Raw genomic sequence first — 23,937 nt, 5'->3', positions numbered from 1 at the left:
TTATCAGAGCCAAAGGGGCTTTAGACTTACCTATATGAATTTAGATTTTTAAGAGTAGAAGCTACTTCAAGATTTCTTAAGTAATTTAAATGCAATAAAATGTTGGTTTTCATTAGAAAATAATATAATCCCATACTGTAAAGTTAAAAACAAAAAGACAGTAACCTACTGTCCACTTACCTTCGGGTCCGGTGTGCTCTTCCTTAATGGCTGGAGCGGTGAGAATAACGAGACAGAGACAGAGACAGAAGCAGCGAACCTGGCTGGGAGCCCACTTTGGTTTCCTCCAAGGATCTTCGAGGCGCAGTCTTCCCTGAGAACAACGCCCAAGCTGTCTGTACAGGACGCTGTGTTTGGGCACTCACTGTCTCTTACCCCCCTCTCTTCTTTGAAACAGAAACCTCCTCTTTCAGGTATAGGAGCCCCTGCCTTGACCTATGAGTGTATCAGAGGCATGGGCTCTCCTCGCACTTTCTAAAGGTGAGTCCAGGTGGACTTAAACCAGTCATCACATCCCACCCATCCTTTGGGCCTAATAAAGGGTTTTAGGAATGAGTAAATGACCCCATTTAAGATAGTAGCATGAACATTTACTAGAGGTATTTGGGAAAGATGTTTCTTTGCTTTTCAGGAGAAAGTACATGAAAAAATGTTCTTTCTGGGAGACATGAATAAAGAAGGTAGCTTCCAGAGCTTGCTAACAGCTGTCTTGTAACCACGAGAGCTGGCAGCCACAAGATGAAGCTGATGCCTCAGAAACAAAGAATAGAAAAGACAGGTCTTTGGCATCTGTGCTGTGTTGCTGAATCAAACCCTGTCCGAAGCATACTTTACCTTTGGAGCTTTCCATTTAGTAAAGCAATGAAGTCCGTTGAACTCTGAGCAAGTTGCGATCAAGTTTCTAGTACTTACAACTCCATAATCCTTAAGTAAAACAGCACTTACTCCAGGGAAGTCTTCCCAGGTTGCTGCAATTAGAATCTATCGCTTCCTTTTCTGTCCTACGAGCCATATAGCCTGATCCTCTTCAGTGATTTTACACATTGTCTTATGTTGTCAGTTACCCATGGCTGGATAAAAAGTGACCACACAATTTAGTGGCTTAAAAAAGTTATGTAGCTCATGATTCTGTGGGTCAGCAATCTAGGCAGGTGGTTCTTCTGGTCTCAGCTGGGCCCCTCATCCATCTGCAGTCAGCTGCAGGTCAGCTTTGCAGAACTTGGCTGGGCTCGCTGCCATGTCTGGGGTCTTGTCTGGAATGAATGGACTTTGTGTGCTTGCCCAGCCTGGCTTGTTCTCATGGCAGTGATGGGGTCCGGGAGATACAGCAGAAGGCTGCAAGGTTTCTTAGGGACTAGGCTCAAGATTAGCACGCCATCACTTCCACTGTGTTCTATCGGCCAGGCCAGAGCAACTCCGCAGGCCAGAGGAGATTCAAAGGGAGGGGAAAGAAATTCCTACCTCTTGATGGGAGGAGCTGTACAGCCATGCTGAAAGGGCGGAGAATATGGTCGTTTCTGTAATTTACCCCAAGTCCCTTCACATCATTGGTTAAGGGCTGGCTTCCCCAACATTGTGCACCCTGGGCAGAGATGGACCTCTGTGATCCTCTGTAGCCAGGGCAATCCTGTGGGATGGAGCCTTGGGGCCCCTTTGGGAGCTGTGGGAGTCAGCTCAGCCAGCATCCCAGGGAGAGCCCTGCAGGAGTGCAGCTGTAAAGGAAAAATAAGTGTGAAGGTCAAACAGCCCAGAGTGGGACTAACGTTGAGGTCAGAGGCCACATCTAAATAGGCCTTGCAGAAGTCAAGTGTGGTTTACTTATCCTCAAGGCCAGGCAGGTGCCGTGTGGCAGATGCCAGGTCAGTGTGCATAGGACAGCTGGCACCTGATCTGGGGCCAGGCACACAGGAGGTCTCTGGAAATGGGTATTCTGCATTGGCCTACTTCTCAGGAGCCCCAGCCCCTTGCCCATCCTCACAGGCTCTGCTCAGTCCACCTGGGGCCTGAGGAGCCTGGGCTCTGTGCTGAGAGGGACAGAGCTCCCTGGAGGAATGAAACTTCTCGACCTGTATGGAGAAGGCCCATAGGCCAGGCAAATGTAGTGTTGCTAAACTTCTAGAGTAATCAGTAGAGTAAACTTCTAGAGTAAACTTCTAGAGTAATCAGTCACACCCTGAGTCCTGGGTGGGAAAGGAAGGGATCAGTCACGCATGAGGACAAAGGGCTTCGTAATTGAGGGTCAATGGCTCAAGCAATGACCCAAGAGCCACGCCATCCTATAACGCTTACTCTGGCTGACTCTCCCATCTGAAGTGCAGCAAACTGAGGCTCAAAGGGCAGACATGACCTGCTCAGGACCACAGAATGAGTGGAAAGCCTGGGGCCAGACCTGGCTCCGGTCACAGACATCCCATGCTGCTTCCTCTTGAGTCCCTCCCTGTCCAGCAGTCCTGCAGCAGCGCTGTACCCTATCCTGACCACAAGAACAGAGAACCGACACTAGGAGAAGATAACCAGCATCTTTATTTTTCATGCTTCCTTAAATAGTTTTGGGAGTAGGAGACTTGTCCTTTGGAAGATTGTCATCCAGAGGCCCAGGAAAGTCATCTCCACCAAGAGAGCCAACTCCCTGCCTCAGTGTGGTGTTCAGCTGGAAGGGGGTGAACCCAGCCAGGCCCCAAGAGCTGTCCCAGCAAAGCCCCCGATAACTTTAGATGTCACAGAGAGTCCAGCTGCCCCTGGGGGAGAAGAGAGGGTGAGCACAGGGCACAGGGAGGGGTAGCAGCTCCTAACAGGGGGTTGAAGGCCAGAGACCCTGGTCCCTCCAGAGACCTGAGGCCCAGGCAGTCCAACCCTGTTCCCCACCTCTGCTTCCTAAAACCCTAGGATTTCTGCTCTGGGAGGGGCTGCTGCAGGCCACTGCCCGAAGAGGAGGCAAGAACTCTGGTGAGGAATCCCAGCAACAGGGCAGACCCTCTGAGAAATGGCAGGTTCCTTATCTTCCAAAGGCCCAGAGAGGGGAGGAGACCTGCCTGGGTTTTGTAGGGTTCACCAGGAATGCAGATCTCTTAGGCTGCACCCCTGGTCCCACCTCCAACCAGAAGAGGGGACAGTGACAGAAAGACAAAGGGCCCAAGAGGCAGAGGATCACGGACCTGCAGGGAGAGGAGAGGCCTCCCTGGTTCAGCCTCGGGGCTGGATCATCTCCTGGCTCTGGTCATCCTGTCCAGAACACTCACCCACTGACTGCAGAATAGCCACCAGACTGCCAGCAGCAACTCCGCCCCCGTTGGCAATGGCTGCTGTAGACATCATCTTGGCTGCTATGGAGGATGCGGCGATTCCTACTGAGGTGAAGCCCATGGCACTGAGCGCCACGAGCACAGTCCCCACAGCCACAACTGCGGGAAGTGGAGATTTGGGGTTGGCCCCATGGGACGGAGTCCCCCAGACTTCCCTGACATCCTCCTGGGGCGATGAGGAGGAGGGGTCTGCTGTGCTCTCAGGAAAGACTGAGCAGGGATGGGATCCCAAAACAAGGGCAGTCAACGTGTAAAGCAGCCAGTGGACCGGCTCCCAGGATAATCTGAATCCCAGGCTTGTTTACGCCTGTTTCACAGACACCATTGAGGGCTCACTGGCCCTCCCTGGGCCTCTGTTCCCCTAATGTAAAATAAATACATTGAAGCAAACAGCAGTCTTCAAACTTTCCCTTTTGGCAAGGAAAACATGATCTCTCCATGCAAAAGGTTGACAGAAGACAATATCAGAGCTGCTTTTCTGGAGAGGTGAGGGGATGGAGGCCCTGAAGGCCCTGCAGCAGCACGCGGGGGTCCTCTAGGGCTCCCCAAAATCTCCAGAGCAGTGCAGTCAGAGAGCCATCTGCAATCACAGCCACATTTGTTTTCTGTACTGTCTACTAGGGTAGCCACGTTTAGCACTTGAAATGTGGTGCAGGTGACAGAGAAACATTATGATTTTCTTTAGTTTTGGCCATTGCATTGGAGGACACTGCTTTATAGCAGGTCAAAAGCTTCTGACTCAGTGGATGGGCTACCAGCATTTGTCAAATACTTTTGAGGAATGAGACACAGCTCAGCTGACATACTCCCTTCAAAAGTCCCCAAGGATACCATGGGCCCTGCTTTAGACGGGGAGGAATCCCGGGCTGTGACTGCTCCAATGACTCATCCGGGGTTGCATGGTTTGTACTTGGTGGAAGCTGAGAGTAGCCCCAGCTCTGGCTGCCTCCAAAGCCCTGTGCCTTTAATGGCTTTGCTTTGCTTCCTGCTGCTCTAAGGTCCCCATCACTCTGCCCACTCCACCGCTACCCAGCTATGTCTTGGAGAATCCTGGGTTTGGTCAAAGCCAGTTTCTCCCAGAGGCTCAGGGCTGGGGGGAGGCGGGGGATGGGGGCTTGAGTTCCTTCCCATAGAGACTCACCTCCTCCGACCACAGCTGCTACAGCAGCCCTGCCTGGAGACAAAAACAACAACAACAACAACAAACAAACAAACACAAACCTATGGGAGTGGGTACTCTCTGATACCCCCATCTCAAATTCAACTTTGCTATTCTTTCCCTCTTCTGAAGCCCCCTACTCATCCTAGGCCATAGGTCAGAGGTGAAGGCCCCATCCTCAGGGCTCTGCACGTGGCACCTTCTGCAGGAAGCCTCCCCAGGTCCCCGCATCAGAAGTCACCTGTCTCCTCTGCCCAGCCTTGTGGCTGGGCCCCCTGCAGCACTGGGCAGAGCATGCCTGGGCCTCCTGAGTTGTGTTGAGCTCTCAGGGCTGGCAGGAACATCTGACAATGGCTGCCACGGGGGCAGGGACTGGGGTGCTTAGGCAGCTGGGACCAAAGTTCTGGAGATTTCAGGGCCTGCTAGAAAGAGCTCAGCCACCTCCCCAGGAAGAGGCGCCTTGGTCTCAGCCAAGTAACAGAAGGTGCAAAAATCAGCCTCAATCCTCCCATCACTCCCTGCCATTTCTTGAAGCTTTTAGCTCATGGCTCAGGACCTCCCTTTCTCTCTGTCACGACTCCTGACCTGTCTTGATGATATCAATCCCTACTCAGATGACATTTCCCAAAAACGTGTCTTTCAGTTCTTATTTCCTTGCTTCCAAAGATCTTGGACTCTATGCCCCATATTCCCTCAGTCAAACCCTAGGCCTGTGCTGCCCACTTGTAACCACTAGCTATGTGTGGCTATTTAAAGTTTAGTGAATTAAAAATGAAATAAAACTTAGAACTCAGTGCCTCAGTTGCACTAGTCACATCTCAAGAGCTCAAGAGCCACGTGTAGCCTGTGACTGTCACAATGGACAGCTCAGAGAACAGAAGGTTCTATTAGTTCTATTAGCATTCTGTCCTAGACCTTGTTAATAACAAAATGGTACCCTCCCTACAGCGAGCAGCCCCCTAGAGGCCCCTAACTCCTCCCTTTCCAGTTTTCTGACTCTAACACAAGCTTTGGGAGTTCTTCAGTCACCCTGGGATTTCTGAGCTCTGTCTTAGTTTCCTAGGCTGCTGTAACCAAGGACCCCAACCTGGGTGGCTTCAAACAACAGAAATCAATTCTCTCAGTTCTGGAGGCTGGAAGTCCACAATCCAGGAGTCAGCAAGGCCACGCTCTCTCTGAAGCCTCTCAGGGAGGGTCCTCCTGTGCCTCCTTCTAGCTTCTGGTGGCTGCCAACAATCCTTGGTGCTCCGGGCCTGTGGCTGCATCACTCCAATCTCTGTGTCTTTCTGTTCCTTTCACTCCCCGCTCTCTGAGATTATGCAAATTTCACAACTTCTCCCTGGATCTTCAAACCTGCACCACCTCCTCTCTTGCCTCTGTCGGGGTCCTAATTCACCAAGAAAATGAAGGCAACCAGAAGACAGCGTCCCCCTGCTCTCACCAGCAAGTCTACCCCTGCCACTCACCACCCCTGCCCCCACATTCCCTTGCCCTCCCACTTCTGTGATGAGCAGTGCCTGCACCTGCCACCTGTGTGCCTCCCCACTTGTGCGCCTGCCGCCCTGTGCGCTGGGCCCACCTGCTATTCCTACTCCAAGTCATGCTCCAGCAGTGCCTCCCTCGCTTCTGCATCATCAAAGTCTCCCTCTCTCTGGGATTGTTCCCAATACCAGTAAAACAAGGACAGCCCCTCCCTTCACACCACATCTTCCTCCAGCTGCCACCTCACTTTGCTTTGCTCCTTAGAGCAAAGCTCCTTGTGGTAGTTCTGTCCATTCAGGGAAAGGCAGAATGGCACCGTGGTTAGGCACCCAGACTCAGAGCTGCATGACCTTGAGCAGTTACCTAGCTTTCTTGTCCCCTCTATAAAATGTGTAAGATAATGAGAGCAGCCACCTCACAGGGTTAGTGGGAGGGTCTAATGCAAAGCATGAGAACATGAGTGAATCATCAAGATGTGTGTATAGGCACGACACACCACCACTCCTCTCATGCACTCTCAAACCCATACCCATAAGCCTTCTCCCCAACCCAGTCCCCAAGAAACTGGACTTACAACGTCCCCACTGACCTCCTTGGTGCCCATCCAGAGCCCTCCCTCTCGGGCCTCAACGTTCCCAGCTCTCAGCAGTGTCTTGACAGGGGTGATTACTCTCTCTTCCTCAAAACGTCTTTGTTGCGGGTTGAATTGCATCACCCGAAAAGATATGTTCGAGTCCTAACATCTGGTACTTGTGAATGTGACCTTAATTGGAAACAGGGTTTTTGCAAATGTAATGAAGATGTGGTCATACTGGAGTAGGGTGGGCCCTTAATCCAATATGACTGAGGTCCTTGTAAGGGAAAAAGAAGAGACACAGATACTTGGAGTCACACAGGGAGAAGCCCACGTGAAGACAGAGATGGAGATGGGAGTGATGCAGCCACAAGGCAAGGACGTCGAAGACTGACAGCAGCCACCAGAAACTAGGGAGTGGCATGGAACATTCTCCTGAAGGGCCTTCAGAGACAGCATGGCCCTGGGACACTCTGATTTCAGACTTCTAGCCTCCAGAACGGTGAGAAAGTAAATTTCTGTTGTTTTAAGCCATTCAATCCATGGACCTTTGTGACAGCAGCCCTAGAAGCCGACACATCTTCCTCACCTGGCCTCATCCTCCACATTTCCCCCTGCCATACTAGCCTCTCCTTCTCAGTCTCATTCAGCCCCTCTCCCTGAACTCAGTGCAGTGTGGGTGTGTCCAGGGTCCGTCCTCAGACTCCCCTGCTTTAGCCCCACACCTGGGGGCACTTCACCCAGTCCCACTGTGTTAAGTACTCTGGTGACTTGCAGATTGATGTGCTCAGCCTAGACCTACTTAACATGTCCCTTGGGTATCTGAGAAGCACCTCAAACATGAAGTGACCCAAGTGCACTCCCATTTCCCCTCTGGAAGCTGTCCCTCCAACAGCTGCCCAGCCTCTGTAAAGGGCAGCCCCGTTCTCTCAGTAGCTCAGGGTAAGTGGCCTGGAGTCCTCCTTGACTCCACATGGTTTCTCTCCTTCACAGCAATCTATCCGTGAATGCTTATTCACCTTCAGAAATATCCAGTCTGACCATCCCTCATACTTCTGCAGCTCCAGTCCCGGACCAAGCCACCCGCGTCTCTCAGTGGGATGACTGGAGGAGCTTCCTAACTTGTCTCTCTGCCTCTGCTCTGGCCCAAGTCACTGCTGAACCCGGAATCCATCCTCTCAGCAGCTCAGGCCAAAAGCCTTCCTGCTATGAAAGTTGTCAGAATTAAAATGGAGTCGCTTATGCCAAATCCTAACAAAATGGAGGCAGGCCACCAAGGAGGGGCTCTCAGGCACACATGCCTATGAAAAGAGCTATTACAAAGATGCTCTGAAAACCACAACCTTGCAGAAAGGCCACTGCAGCCTTCCATAAAGAATACTTCTGAATGGATGACTGCCCAGCAACTGCCCGTTCAATCTTGGGCTGATGCCACACTTGTAGCCAAGGATCATTGTTTCAAAACCACTTAGTAACTTTCCTTGTTTTGCTTTTAAAAACCTTTGTCTTCCTTTGCCTTCCTGGGTACATCTGTGGCCCCGCCATGGTCCACTGTGGCATGTGTATTCTGGGATTTAAAAATCCCGTCATTCATTCCTGAATAATTCTTTTCCATGGATAGCCTCCCTCTCTGTTATTTGGGGTTGACATAATCTGGTGTCAGAAGAGTGGGACACAAAGTGCATTCACCTCGGAAGGACCAGCAGCCCCCAGAATCATGTGCAGTACCCACCTGAGTCCCATCCACTCTCCTTTCCCATGGTTGGCCCCTTCGCCTCGGTGAGCCTCCACTCGGATTCTTGGACTTCCACCTGTTGGTTGAGTTTTGACTTTATTCAGGATCTGGTTTGAATAAAGCTGCATTAATAAAGAACTCTGCATCCCTCCTGGGACTATAAAAACATTAAAAATAGAATTATCATATAAAACATATAATCCCGTAAACCCACTTTTGAGTAACTACCCTAAGTATTTAAAGCATAGCCTTTTTTTTTTTTTTTTTCTGAGACAGAGTCTCGCTCTGTCACCCAGGCTGGAGTGCAGTGGCACAATCTCTGTTCACTGCAACCTCTGCCTCCCAGGTTCAAGCGATTCTCCTCCCTCAGCCTCCTGAGTAGCTGGGATTACAGGTGCGTGCGACCACACCTGGCTAATTTTTGTATTTTTAGTAGAGACAGGGTTTCACCATGTTGGTCAGGCTGGTCTCGAATCCCTGACCTCGTGATCCGCCCACCCTGGCCTCCCAAAGTGCTGGGATTACAGGTGTGAGCCACTGCACCCGGCTGAAAGCATAGTCTTGAATAGATATTTATACACCCATGTTCGTAGCAGCATTATTCACAATAGCTAAGAGATGGAAGCAACCCAAGCATCAGGGATATAAAACACTGAATGGAGACGTATCTACTGGCTGCTGTGGTACAGGGAAAAGTCATGGTGTTTACCCATCCATCTGCCTAAAACCCCTCAACAGCCTTGTATGGCCCATGGGATAAGCAAGTCCTCCATGAACTGGCTTCTGCCTCGCCCTAAACTTATTGTTGCCAATATCCAGCTACGTTTCTGTCCTGGGGGACAAATAGAAGTCATTCCCTGCTCTTTTAGGCCTCTGATCCTTTGCATGCTAGATTCAGGAAAATTTTCAGGACCTCATCATCTTACATATTCTCCAGGAAGACTTCCCTGGCCACACATTCCCAATCTCGCTTGAGCAACTATACCCCCACTTATGCTCTCAAATGTGAGTCCACTATATTCTTTCTGCCACAGAATTTCCCACAATGCAACATTGTTCTCTATCTCCTCTGCTGGATTCAGAGCTCTTTAAAATCAAGGACTGCTATGGTTTGGATGTTTGTCCCCTCCAAATCTCATATTGAAATGTGATCTTCAATGTTGGTGGTGGAGCTTGGTGGGAGGTGCTCAGGTCATGGGGGAAAATCCCTCATGGTGGCTTGGTGCCCTCCCCATGGTAATGAACAAATTCGCACTCTGTTTGTTCATGCAAGAGCTGGTTGTTTAAAGGAGGCTGGTACCTCCTCCTCTCACTCCTGCTCCCTCTCTTGCCATATGACACACCTGCTCCCCCTTCAACTTCTGCATTAGTAAAAGCTTCCTGAGGCCTCACCAGAAGCTGAGCAGACGTTGGTGCCATGCTTGTATAACCTACAGAACCATGCCAAATAAACCTCTTTTCTTTATAAATTACCCAGCTTCAGGTATTCCTTGATAGAAATGTAAAACTGACTAACACGAGTCAGGAGTCATTCATTGCTGCCTCCCTTAATGCTAGGCCCAGACCGGAGATCAAGTAGACATTGAGTATTTCATAAAAAGAAATATGGATAAAGAGTGTGCCTAAGGCTTGGAACGGTGGCTGGCACCTATAATCCCAGTTACTTGGGAGGCTAAGACAAGACGATCACTTGAGGCCAGGAGTTCCAGACCAGCCTGGGCAATATACCAAGACCCTCATCTCTAAAAAAGTCTCTAAAAATTAGCCAAGTGCTGTCATGTATACCTGCAGTCCCAGCTACTTGTGAGGCTGAAACTGGAGAATTGCTTGTACCTAGGAAGTCGAGGCTGCAGTGAGCTGTGATCATGCCACTGCACTCCAGCCCGGGCAACACAGTGAGATCCTGTCTCTAAATTTTTTTTAAGTGTGCCTTTGTGCATCCTTGCCTTTTATTAAGAGGGGCCTTTAACTCGCTCTATCTTAGGAGAGACTCTAATTCCCCTAAGTTGGACTTCTAACCCATTCTCATCCTTTACCCAGGTAAAATGTACCCCACCACTTACCCAAAGTCAGCCAATTGGTGTTGCGGTCTATTTCCTTTAGTTCAGGGGTCTCCTCAATATCGTCCTTTCATGGTTCACCAGGAGTATATTACTGGAAAGGGGTCCCAATCCAGACTCCAAGAGAGGGTGCTTGGACCTCACACAGGAAGACTTCAAGCCAAATCCAGAGTGAAGTGAGAGCAAAGCAGCAGCTTGGGCCGCTCGACTGATAATACTTACAGTATTATATTGATTATATGCTAAACAAGGGATGGCTCATTCACGAGTTTTCTGGGAAAGGGGTGGACAATTCCTAGAGTGATGGAGGTCACTTCCGTCACCATCTAGGTTTTGGTGGATTTGGGCTGACTTCTTTACATCATGCTGCTTTATCAGCAAAGTCTTTTGCTGAATTATTTGGGAGTGTTGTTCCAAAACTAAACAGGACTGTGCAAGGAAACGGCAGGGTGGAGAAGGTGAAGAGCTCAGGGAGGCCAGAGAAAGACCCACCCGTTGCAGCAACACTGACTCAAAAATTCAGGCGGCCACTTGTCATCCTGAAGGGATCAGCTCTCAAGTTTCCGCCTTTAGAGAGAAAAAAGCTCCCAATGTCCCATGATCCTGTACATGCTCAATCCTGCCACCCACAGCCATCAGCAAAGAGTGCGAGGCAGATTAACCCAAAGAGAGTAGCAGTTAATACCTCGTAGTGCCAAATCCATTTTTAACCAAGAGAGACTTTACTGAGAGGGACCTCTAACCCCCTGAATCTTTGGAAGGACTCTAACATTCCTAAATTGGGCCTCAAACCCAAGTTTGGTCAAGCATCGTTGCAGGACTGGGGTTGGGGTGCAGGGCTCATTTTCCCTCCTTTCCTTGTCTTGCAAAAGGGACACAGCCTCATTTCCAGGACATTAGAGGATATCCCAAGCAGAGGGCCTTTCCCACCCCGATTCTGTCACTTCTTTAATTTTCTGTATTCCTCTCTCCGCAGACTTCACACTGAGACTCTCACTTTCCTTTTTTTTCTCTTCACTCATTCTTTCATTCAAAACATATTTACCAAGCTCCTGAGCACTGACTCAAGAGAAAAAGATAGACACATCCTTATTTCATGAAATTTGTTCCAGTAGGGGAAAAGGACAGAAACAAGCAAATGCAAAAAACAATAGTACATATCTACTAACTCCCTATTTGTCACCAAACTAAGGCACATCAAGGTTCATTAACTTGCCTCAAGGCCACAGCTCTAAGGATTTCAACCAGGGCCCCTGGTCAGAGATCATGCTGTTAGCCACCAATCCATGCTGACTTCCTGCTTATCACAAATATGGGAGTAGGGCTCCATGCCATTTGTCAGCTAGTGTAGAATGTTTCATACTATAAATCTTCTATGTGGGATGGAGGGATGTTCTCCATACAAAATGAAGTTCATAAGAAATGCAGTCAGGGCCGGGCGTTGTGGCTCAAGCCTGTAATCCCAACAATTTGGAAGGCTGAGGCGGGCGGATCACGAGGTCAGGAGATCGAGACCATCCTGGCTAACACAGTGAAACCCCGTCTCTACTAAAAATACAAAAAAAAAAATTAGCCGGGCATGGTGGCGGGTGTCTGTAGTCCCAGCTACTCGGGAGGCTGAGGCAGGAGAATGGCGTGAACCCAGGAGGCAGAGCTTGCAATGAGCTGAGATGATGCCACTGCACTCCAGCCTGGGTGACAGAGCAAGACTCCATCTCAAAAAAAAAAAAAAAAAGAAAAGAAATGCAGTCAAAAATTTTGATGAAAAGGAGGATTTTGAATTCCTCACATCTCCAAGAAGGGCATTTTGAGGGGAAAAGTAATGCTCCTGGTATTGGGATGTGTTGGAATTAGATTTTCCTGGCCAACATGGTGAAACCCCATCTCTACTAAAAATACAAAAGTTAGCTGGGCATGGTGGTGTGCGCCTGTAGTCCCAGCTACTTGGGAGGCAGGGGCAGGAGAATCGCTTGAACCCAGGAGGGTGGCTGGCAAAGAGCAAATGAAAAGCGAAGCATAAAGGGAAACCCCTTATAAAATCATCAGATCTCATGAGACTTACTACCACGAGAACAGCATGGGGGAAATCATCCCGGTGATTCAATTATCTCCCACTGGGTCCCTCCCACAACACATCAGAATTATGGGAGCTACAATTCAAGAAGAGATTTGGGTGGGGACACAGCTAAACCATATCAGGTATTCTTCAGTTTTTCTGTAAATTGAACATTGGAATAAAAGCACAACAGAGTTTTTCTTAGAGCACTGATCTTCTCTTTAACAAGAATTTGTAAAGGGTTATAAAAGGTTTATGAGAATCTTGCCTCATAGACAAACTGATTAAGATTGATTTGTCTGTAAAGTTTTTTTTGTTTTGTTTTGTTTTGTTTTTGAGATGGAGTCTCGCTCTGTTGCCCAGACTGGAGTGCAGTGGTGCAATCTTGGCTCACTGCATCCTCCACCTCCCGGGTTCAAGCAATTCTCCTGCCTCAGCCTCCTGAGTAGCTGGGATTACAAAAGCGCACCACCCAGCTGGCTAATTTTTGTATTTTTAGTAGAGACGGGGTTGCACCATGTTGATCTGGCTGGTCTCAAACTCCTGACCTCGTGATCCGCCCACCTCAGCCTCCCAAAGTGCTGGGATTACAGACGTGAGCCAGAGCGCACGGCCAGGTTTTATTAAGGATTGAATTTGATATCAATAGTACACTAACGCAAAGGGTGAAATCTGGCTTTCTCTCTTAAGATTTTCTTTCTTTTTTTTTTTTTATTTTTTTGAGACACAGTCTCACTCTGTCACCCAGGCTAGAGTGCAGTGGTGCAATCTCGGCTCACTGCAACCTCCACTGCCCAGGTTCAAGCGATTCTCCTGACTCAGCCTCCCAAGTAGCTGGGATTACAGGCACCCGCCACCATGCGTGGCTAATTTTTTTGTATTTTTAGTAGAGACAGGGTTTCACCATGTTGCTCAGGCTGGTCTCAAACTCCTAACCTCAGGTGATCCACCTGCCTTGGCCTCCCAAAGTGCTGGGATTACAGGTGTGAGCCACCACACCCAGCTGATTTTCATGTTATATTAAAAAAAAAAAGATTTTTGTTTGCCTTTTGAATAAGCTATAGACAAAAGAAGGGAAAGGAAAGAGATTGTTTGGAAAGCTAAATCTTCCCTCTATTAATGAGTAAAGGTTTTTTGCCTTTTAAAAAATTCTGAGTTATTGTTTCAGCTAAGTAAATGACTTATGGTGACCTGGGATTTGATTTTATAATATCAAGTGTTTTAAACCTCTGATATTTGGCAAAATTTCCAAAATCAAATTATAAATTATGTCTTCTTCTGACCTCCTAATTAATCTTTTAGATACTAGGTCTCCTCAAGTCCAAAAATGACATATTTGCCTTATTTGGTATAAAAATCATATAGGAAGCATGGTTAAATATGAAATGGTTGGGTGTTTGGCTTTCTTGGCTGTATTTGTATAACTAAGTTATTGGTATGTGTTCTAAAATTATGGGAAACTCCTATAATCATGATATGACTTAGTGTATGCTACTAATAGTTATAATTGTTATGTAAAATTGTTGTATGCCATAGAAGTAACCACAATTTCTAGCCAATTGTGGCTATAATAGCGGCTGTCCTAAAACTTTTTGTCATCCACAGGCAACTGTTACCTTGTTTTGATCCTCTTTAAAAGGTGACCCTTAATCAGCTATAGGACTTTGACAGATGCTCTTGGATGCAGGTTTCTGATAACTTTGGACATTGTGATGTTAGAAAAAATCTTTCAGGACTTTCATGGAGAGCTGAAATGTTCATGAGCATCAGACAGAACAGGAATTAAGCGCATGAACTAAACTAACAGAAGTCTGAACCAATCTTTCTGACTTTTTCCTGATCTTTTACAGAGCCAAAAAAATTTTTATTTTGAGCTATTTACAACTTTTGATAATTGAGTAAAGTATACTACTGTGAACAAAATTTGGAGTATATTTGCTTCTCTCTACCTGATTTCTCCAGAATTTGGAAACTGCATATTCTTAATTTATGGCAATATAGTTATCTGCATAAGTACAATAAGAATCCATTTCATTTTGCAATTGGATGCAATTGGAGACATCGGTTATTTTACCAAGGCTTTGACTGTAATGATGTGCTTTCCCTTAAGGAATCAAACTTGACTTATAGAGCCAATAAAAGCCCCTTGGGAAAACTAGCCTCGTATCTTGCCTACACAGTCACTGTACAGGGTTCCTGACCAAAGAATGTCACTTTCTGACAGGCCCAAGAGCCCCAAGTTATCTTGAAACCTCTTAAGGAGAGGAATTTACCCAAACTCGTAGGTATCTGCTACCAACCCATGGCTGGCCTCAGCTTTAAAAATGTCTTATCTGAGATTCCTTTCATGGAACAAAGTTCCACCAAAGTCAATTTAAAAAGCCTATGTGAAAAATAATCATTCTTGCTGCACTTTATACAAATAATCAGGCCAGGTATAATAAACCAAATCTGTCAAATTATGATTTGTTTTATACTAAAATGAGGACTGGAGAGAGAAAAATTAGGTTTCAAAAACTGTGGTACACCAGTTATTAAATTCTAGTCTCATCAGTTGTTTTTGAGTTTTTTTCTGCAATTTAGACTGACCCTGCTTATTCCTGTGAACCAATCGGTGATCTCTGGCTGCAGCTCAGAAGAAACAAGAGGGATGGGTAATGTAAAAATCTGGATCAATATTCTAATTTGGGCACATATTGGAATCAGCTAGAGACCCCCATATCAGCTTGGTTCCAACAATTGCCCAGTTCCTGGAAAGCCTTCTTATTCAGTTTACTTGGGATAATTTTGCTTATTTTACTTTACTGTTGTGGAATATGTTGCTGTTGTACTCTTTGTATAGAAATGTAGGATGAGCTTACTCAATGTTTTCTTAAATTGAACACTTACTAATCTTCCAGATATCACCTTTTGTCGGAACTCAAGAGTTATGAATGGTCCTTGCCATACCGACACTTTCTGACTGAGCTCCACTCTACCCTGAATACAAGAGACCCTAATAGTTAGGCAGGAATATCATCGCCCCTATTCAGTCTGAAGAAATTACAGAAGATGGATCTACATACTTCTACAACCCTTAGGCTTAAGGGTTTCCTTGTAAAAGGGAGGGGGTAAATATGTCAGAAGCATTTGAACCAGAGTGACTCCATCTTGAATAAGAGCTGGGTAAAATAAGGCTGAGACCTACTAGGCTGCATTCCCAGGAGGTTACGCATTCTTAGTCACAGGATGAGACAGGAGATAGGCACACGATACAGTTCACAAAGACCATGCTGATAAAATAGCATGCAGTAAAGAAGACAGCCCAAACCCACCAAAACCAAGACGGTGATGAGAGTGACCTCTGGTCATCCTCATTGCTCATTATATACTAATTATAATGCATTAGCATGCTACAAGACACTCCCAGCAGCACCATGACCATTTATAAACGCCATGGCAACATCAAGAAGTTACCCTATATGGTCTGAAAGGGGGAGGAACCCTCAGTTCCAGGAATTGCCCACCTCAAAAACTCATTAATAATCCACCACTTGTTTAGCATATAATCAAGAAATAACTATAAGTATTATCATTCAAGCAGCTCAAGCTGCTATTCTGACTATGGAATGGCCATTCTTTTATTCCCTTACTTTGTTAATAAACTTGCTCTTGCTTTATGGATTCACCTGAAATTCTTTCTTGCATGATATCCAAGAACCTTCTCTTAGGATATGCATCGGGACCTCTATCCAGTAACAGCTGCAGTGAGCCATGACCCAACCACTGCACTCCAGCCTAGCCAACAGAGCAAAACACTCTCTCTAAAAATAAAAATAACAAAATAACAAAACAAACAAAAAAACACCATGAACAAAGTCCCTCGTGGTGAAAAATGGATTTATCATGAAGGTTAAGAGACAAGTGACATACTGAGGGGAAAACAAACCAAACAAAATAATACTTTTGCACGATTAGTATCCCCAACTCAAAGAGAGTTTTCCTTATGAATCAATTTTTAAAAGGAACTGCCTTTAACAAGGAACTCCGAAGACTAGGAGACAGCTCCCCAAGACAGAATTACGCATGACTAATAGACACTTAAAAAGATGGTCAATCTTACTAATAGTAAAAGATTTAAAGGAGGTAACATTTTGTATGTGTGTCACATGCATCTATTAGTCAGAGTTCAGCTGCAGATAACAGAAGTCACTCCAGCCAACTTAAGCAGAGTGGGTTTTGACACAGGGAATTAGGTGACTATAAGATTGTTCCAGGGGGTGGAGCTTGCAGTGAGCTGAGATCGTGTCACTGCACTCCAACCTGGGCGACAGAGCAAGACTCTGTCTCCAAAAAAAAAAAAAAAAAGATTGTTCCAGGATTGGAGGAGGAGGGTCTAAGCTGATGTTCCAGGAATGCCCCAACCCCAGAATGTGGCTCCACCCTAAAAGTGGGCCACCAAGAATGCTTCAGCCAGTGCCATGATCACGAAACTGGGATATCGGGAAGCCACTGCCACACCTGTTGGCTCTGGGGCATCTATGCCAGTAAAATGAAAACTTACCTTCTGCATCTCGCATAGTAACGTAAGAAATGGATCCTGGGACTCTGCTTCTGCTACTGCAAAAAAACAAGTCCCTACTACAATGCTTGGCAGTAGAAGAAGCCGAAGCACAGCCCCTGTGTCCCTTCCACCTTCACATCCTTGCACAGGGGAGTCAGCTTGGCACAATTCAGGTCATTTGCAGAACTGGCATATGGGGAAGCCAGGGGAATAGAGTCATTAACTTTCCATCCTTGAGGGTTCACAGCAGAGCGTGAAACAGAGCTGAGTGACTACATCCTTATAATCTGCCTCAGGAAGCAAATAACTGGAACATGCAGTGTTTGCATGAGGAAAGGAGTAGTGATCCTCATTCACTGCTGGGTATGGCGTGTTCTAACCCATACTTTATTTGACAGCATGTAGTGAAAGCTTATTTGGTTTAGAAATTTTACTTCTTGGAATTCATCACAAGAAAAGAATCAGAGATGTGCACAAATATCTGCACATGAATGATGATCACCGTGTTTTTGATGACAACTATAAAAGCAGTCAGAGTCAAAATGGAGTTGCTTGTGTTAAAAAAAAAAACGACAATCGGCTGGGCACGGTGGCTCATGCCTGTAATCCCAGCACTTTGGGAGGCCGAGGCGGGCAGATCACGAGGTCAGGAGATCGAGACCATCCTGGCTAACACGGTGAAACACCATCTCTACTAAAAATAGAAAAAATTAGCTGGGTGTGGTGGCGAGTGCCTGTAATCCCAGCTACTCGGGAGGCTGAGGCAGGAGAATGGCGTGAAGCCTGGGAGGCGGAGCTCGCAGTGAGCCGAGATGCGCCACTGCACTCCAGCCTGCGTGACAGAGTGAGACTCCGTCTCAAAACAAAACAAAAATAAAAATAAAAATAACAAAAAACACACCCAAACTCTGACAAATAGAGCTAGGGAAAATCCATGAAGAGAGGGTTTTCACGCTTTTGTATGCCTGAGAACAAAACTATCATCTGCAAAAATTGCAATCTTGCACAAAGGCCATCACAACCTTACACAAAAAATACTTCCGTGAGCACATCTGCCCAGAAACTACCTGCCCAACCTCAGACTGGTGTCACCCTTGCTGTTAATCCTTATAGCCAAACATGTTGTTATTATTATTATTTGTAAAAGTAAGTTATTCTAAGAGTAATTGATTAAGGCTGTTGTCTTTTAATTGCTTTCTAATCTGGCTTCAAAACAATTACATAATTGTCTTCATTTTTCCTTTAAAAACCTTTGTCTTCCTTTACATCCTTGAATATGTACATAGTTTACTATGGCATGAATTTTCCCACTGCAATGCCGTATTCTCAAATGTCATTTTCTTTTAGAGGGCTTCTCTCTGTTTGTTATTTAGGTTGACACAGCAAAAGTGGGAAGTAACAAAAATTGAATAAATAAAATTTTATACTCCTATATAAATAATTATATGTAGCTACTGATGATAGAAGCAGAAATGGGTTTACCTCGAAGCAAAAGAAGCCTGAGTTCAGGGACCCTCACTTGCACTGGCTCCTTCCAAGACCCTAAGAGCAGCTCTAGCCATTGCTCACTTTGTTGTTATTATTATTATTTGCAAAAGTTCTTCTAAGAGTAATTGATTAGGGCTGTTGTCTTGTAATTGCTTTCCAATCTGGCTTCCCTCTGCCATACTTCCCCTGGTTTGGGGTGACATTATAGTGTTACTGGTATTTTGTATTATAACTCTCTTTTTTTAAGCTCTCTGCCCCACCAATTATGTAAGCTTCAGGTCCTAAATAGAATGGATCCGTCCCTGGTTATAGATTAATATTTATTGGCAATGGGGAATGGTTCATTAGATATTGTTGAGTGAAAGAGGCAACTTACAAAACACTGGTAAAGGAAGACCTCATTATATTAGGCAATTCTTGTATTGCTATAAAGAAATATCTGAGACTGGGTAATTTATCTAAAAAAGAGGTTTAACTGGCACACAGTTCCACAGGCTTTACAAGAAGCATGCTGCTGACATCTGCTCAGCTTCTAGGTAGGCCTCAGGAAGCTTACGATCATGGCAGAAGGTGGAAGGGGGGCAGGCACATGAGATGGTGAAAACAAGAGTCAGAGAGAATTGAGGGGAGGCGCCACACACTTTTAAACCACCAGATCTCACATGAACTCAGAGTGAGAGCTCACTTATTATGAAGCAGATGGCCCAAGCCATTCATGAGGCATCTGCCCCCATGATCCAAACACCTCCCACCAGACCCCAACTCCAGCATTGGGGATTACAATTCAACTATGAGATTTGGGTGGGGACAAATATCCAAACTATATCACCCATGTAGAATGCTTATACATACGTATGTTTTTTGGTGCTAGATGAATTACAATGCCTCAGGCATAAGTCACTTTTACAATAAATGAAAATACCAAAATGGCTCCCATTTAAGAAATAGTTGCCAATTAATTTTTAAATTAAAATATATTTGTGTTCTGGGTAGGGATAAAAACTAACTGGAAATGGGGATGAATGAATTTTCTGGGGTGGTGGAAATGTTCTTTATGTTGTTTTGTGCAATACTTATATGATGATATGGAAATGTTACAATTCATTGAACTGAAAAGCTGCACTCTGCATTTTATTGTACACTAATTATACCTCCATATAATATATATAATTAAAATAATCACATTAAAATTGAAATATTGAAAAGAAAAAATTACACTCAGTTCCATCACCTTAAAACAACTACTTAACACTGTGGGATGTTTCGCCGAAATGTGTTTTCCCCCAACTTATCACCTTTTCATATTTATACTATATGAAAGGTATGTGTATGCTTATAAAGAAATGTGTGATGACAAAAGGAATTGCTAAGGTCAATTGAGCTCACCATGTGCCAGGCACTGCAGCAAGAAGTTTACATGCATTTACGTTTAGTCTTCTCAACCATATTATTCTCATTTTACAGATGAGGAAACATGCAGGAAGAGTAAGTAATCTGCCAGAGTCACACAGCTAATGTTACAGAGCTCAGACCTGACTCCAGGCAATCTGATTCCCCCACCCTTCTAGATGCCCTACCTGGCTAGATGAGCCATTTTCTTGCTGGGAAATATATGAGCTCAACTGTTCCAACTTCTCCATATGCATTCTTGGTTCCCCTCAGCCCACATCTACCCTTCAGTCTTTTTGGAAAGTCAATCAACACATTCATAAGTACTCCCACTTCAGCCACTGGCAATGGAGGCTTCTGCATGGGTCCCTTGGAAACTGGGACACATTCCTTATAGGGTTTCTTGATCTTGATTACTTTTTTTTTTCCCCCACACAGGGTCTTGCTTTGTCACTCAGGCTGAGTATACTGGCATTGGAACAGGAATTAAAAGAAATTAAAAACTGTGTAAGCAAAAACTCGGTTGTATGTAAAAAAACCCAATTTCCCTTGAGGAAGAGAAAGGGCTGGAGTCCTTTAAAATTAACTGCCTGTTTTTCTTTCTGAGGCTAGTGAGCCTTATCTCTCCCTTTCCCAGGCATTGTGAAGACTCTGTTTCTCTAGCTGTGCAGCTGCAAGGTCACTAGACAGATACTCTCAAGTCGTAAAACGTGTTGTTCCTTGAAAAGTAAGATATAATGTAATGCCATGTCTCAATTGAATAACTGTCTTTGTTTCTCGCTTCTGTAATATGCTTCCCACTGCACAAATCTCCCCCTGCCCCACGAAATGTTTAAAAGGTAGCTTGACTCTTTGTTCAGGGCTCAGTCCTTTGGATGTTAATCTGACTGGGTTTGTGCACCTAAATAATTAAATAATTCCTCCTCAACCCCTCGGTCCCTTTGGTTTCTTAATTATCCCGCAGCAGCATGAACATGGCTCACTGCAGCCTTGACCTCTTGGGCTCAAGCAATCCTCCCACTTCAGCCCCCTAAGTAGCTGGGACTAAGGGCGCATGCCACCAAGCCTGGTTAATTTTTGCATTTTTTGTAGAGACGGGGTTTCACCATGTCGCCTGGGCTGATCTTGAACTCCTGAGCTCAAGCGATCCACCCGCCTGGGCCTCCCAAAGTGCTGGAATTACAGGTGTGAGCCACTGCACCCAGTTAAAGTCACAGATCTCCAAGTCAGGTCTGAGCTCTGTAACATTAGCTGTATGACTCTGGCAAATTAATCTTCCTGCATCTGTTTTTTCATCTTTGAAATAAGAATAACATTAAAATAGTTTATTCTTACTATTTTTTAAAATTAGAATATTGAGAAGAAGGAAAAAAAATACCTATGTTTCCACTACTATAATGGAAACTTTGCCATCATTTTGCTTTTGGTTGACATCTCCCCCTCCCCCATTTTTAAAAATTAAAATTGACTCTCTTTCTTTCCTTCTTTCTTTTTCTTTTTTTAAAGATGATGTCTTGCTATGTTGTCCATGCTGGACTCACACTCCAGAGCCCAAGCGATCCTCCCTCTTCAGCCTCCTGGATAGCTGGGACTACAGGGATGTGCCACCACACCTGGCTTAAACCAATTTCTTTTTAATTCATAATTTTTAAATCAAAACAATTTACTCAACTCTTTATTTTGAAAAGTTTTAAACCTCAAAAAAGTTGAAAGAATAGTACAATGAACACTCACGTACCCTTACTCTAGCACCAATAATTCACCAATTATTAACATTTTGACTGTGTCCCCCTCTGCCATAATATACTTTTCTTTTTTTCTGAAACCAGCTGATTGATTAGGGTGGTGGTTGCTGAAAGGTGAGGTGCTGTGGCAATTTCTTAAAATAACACAACAATGAAGTTTGCTGCATGGATTGACTCTTCCTTTCATGAAAGATTTCTCAGTAGCATGTGATGCTAATTGGTAGCATTTTATCCACAGTAGAATGTTCAAAATTGTAGTCAATCCTCTCAAACCCTGCCACTGCTTTATCAACTAAGTTTACGAAATATTCTAAATCCTTCATTGTCATTTCAACAGTGTTCCCAGCATCTTCACCAGGAGTAGATTGTATCTCAAGAAACCACTTTCTTTGGTCATACATTAGAAGGAACTGTTCATCCATTCAAGTTTCTCACGAGATTGCCACAATTCAGTCATATCTTCAGGCTCCGCTTGTAATTTTAGTTTTCTTGCTATTTCCAACCACATCTGCAGTTACCTCCTTCACTGAAGTCTTGAACCTCTCAAAGTCATCAATGAGAACTGGAGTCAACTTCTTCCGAACTCTTGTTAATTTTGATATTTTGACATCTTCCCATGAATCACAAATGTTCTTAATGATATCTAAAATAGTGAACCCTTTCCAGAAGGTTTTCAATATACTTTGCCCAGATCCATCAGAGGAATAACTCTCTATGGCAGCCATAGCCTTACGAAATGTATCTTAAGTAATAAAACTTGAAATGCAAAATTACTTCTTGATCCATGGGCTGAAGAATGGATCTTGTGTTCACAGACATGAAAACAACATTCATCTCCTTATACATCTCCATTAGAGCTCTCGTGTGACTATGCACATTTTCAATGAGCAATAATACTTTGAGAGAAATCCTTTTTTCTGAGCAGTAGGCCTCAACAGTGGGCTTAAAATATTCAGTAAACCATGCTATGAACAGTTGTGCTGTCATCCAGGCTTTGTTGTTCTACTTACAGAGCACAGGCAGATTATATTTAGCGTAATTCTTAAGAGACCTAAGATTTTTATAATAGAATGGTAAACAAGCACTGGCTTCAATCCAAAGTCACTAGCTGCATTAGCCTCTAACAAAAGAGTGAGCTTGGCCTTTGAGGCCAGACATTGACCTCTCTAGCTATGAAAGTCCTTGATGGCGTCTTCTTCCAATAGAAGGCTGTTTTGTCTACATTGACTACTTGCTGTTCAGTGGCCACCTTCATCAACGATCTTACCTAGATCTTGGGGATAACTTGCTGCAGCTTCTCCATCAGCATTTGCTGCCTCATCTTACACTTTCATGTTCTGGAGACGGCTTCTTTCCTTAAACCTCATGAAATAATCTCTTCTAGCTTCAAACTTCTATAGCTTCCTCACCTCTCTCAGTCATCATAGAATAGAAGAGAATCAGGGCCTTGCTTTGGATTCGGTTTTGGGTTTAGGGGATGCTGTAGCCGGTTTTATTTTCTATCCAAACCACTAAAATTTTCTCCAAATCAGCAATAAACTGTTTCGCTTTCATATCATTCATGTGTTCATTAGAGTAAAATGTTTAATTTCCTTCAGTAACTTTTCCTTTGCATTCACAAACTGGCTAACTTTTTGGTGCAAACTTTCAGCCTAGCTTTCAGCCTATCTTGCCTTTTGACATCCCTTCCTCACTAAGCTTAACCATTTCTAGCTTTTGAGTTAAAGTGAGAGATGTGCGACTCTTTCTTTCACTTGAACACTTAGAGGCCCATTGTAGGGTTATTAATTGACCTAATTTCAACACTGTTGTGTCTCAGGGAATAGAGACCCAAGGAAAGGGAGAGAGAAGGAAGAACGGCCTGTCAGTGGATTAGTCTGAACACACACAACATTTATCAATTACGTTTGTATCTTATATGGGCACAGCTCATGGCGCCCCAAAACAATTACAATACAAGGAACACTCATCACACGTCACCCTTGTAGCAGAGCACATCTCCCTATGATCTAGGTACGAGCATTGTACCTAGGATGGACGCGTTCGTCCTCTTACCTTCGGGAACGCCCTACTCTGTCTACGGAGTAAAGTACTTAATAAACTTGCTTTTGCTTTGCTATGCGGACTCACCCTGAATTCTTTCCTGTGCAAGATCCAAGAACCCTCTCTTGGGGTCTGGATCGAGACCCCTTTCCGGTAACGAAACTACACTAAGAATACAAGAAAACTTACGTTACTGTGCGGGAGCTGACAAAGTCTCTCGCCGGAGGGAGCACACAGAATTTCACCTTCTCCGGCCTTTTCCCAAGCTGGCAGGAGTAAAGCTGTAAGAGGAGGTGCCAGCGCCCCAAGCCAGCTCTCCCGCCGGCACTGCTGCGGTCCGCGAGGCAGCCAATCAGGTAGC

The 23,937-nt window shown here is 45.1% G+C and overlaps 1 protein-coding gene across 2 annotated transcripts; it reads right to left on the bottom strand.

The window, feature by feature from the left end:
• Window positions 1-2,505: 2,505 nt before the first annotated feature.
• Window positions 2,506-23,905, bottom strand: IFI27L1 (interferon alpha inducible protein 27 like 1). Of its 2 annotated transcripts, none has more exons than NM_145249.3 (5): window positions 23,766-23,905; window positions 8,250-8,374; window positions 4,444-4,476; window positions 3,240-3,401; window positions 2,506-2,738 (listed from the first exon to the last, which is right to left on the bottom strand). In NM_145249.3, the coding sequence occupies exons 2-5, from the start codon at window positions 8,275-8,277 to the stop codon at window positions 2,647-2,649; spliced, it is 315 nt and encodes a 104-aa protein (NP_660292.1). In that variant the 5' UTR covers window positions 8,278-8,374; window positions 23,766-23,905; the 3' UTR covers window positions 2,506-2,646. The 2 variants fall into 2 exon arrangements, with proteins under 2 accessions (NP_660292.1, NP_996832.1); NM_206949.3 differs by having other exon boundaries at window positions 8,250-8,328.
• Between the last annotated feature and the right edge of the window lie 32 nt (window positions 23,906-23,937).

The sequence above is a fragment of the Homo sapiens genome, chromosome 14 (assembly GCF_000001405.40).
Source record: "Homo sapiens chromosome 14, GRCh38.p14 Primary Assembly".
In the NCBI taxonomy this organism is placed as follows: Eukaryota; Metazoa; Chordata; class Mammalia; order Primates; family Hominidae; genus Homo; species Homo sapiens.
The sequence above is the reverse complement of the archived record's forward strand: the minus strand, read 5'-3'. Positions and strand labels throughout refer to the sequence as shown.

What these genes read in the sequence shown, in the direction of transcription:
- IFI27L1 (NM_145249.3), bottom strand. Translation starts at nt 8,277, where the DNA reads ATGGGAAAGGAGAGTGGATGGGACTCAG. An exon ending in GGAGAGTGGATGGGACTCAG is followed by an intron (nt 4,477 to 8,249) that starts GTGGGTACTGCA and finishes TTTTGTCTCCAG; the next exon opens with GCAGGGCTGCTGTAGCAGCT. An exon ending in AGCAGCTGTGGTCGGAGGAG is followed by an intron (nt 3,402 to 4,443) that starts GTGAGTCTCTAT and finishes CACTTCCCGCAG; the next exon opens with TTGTGGCTGTGGGGACTGTG.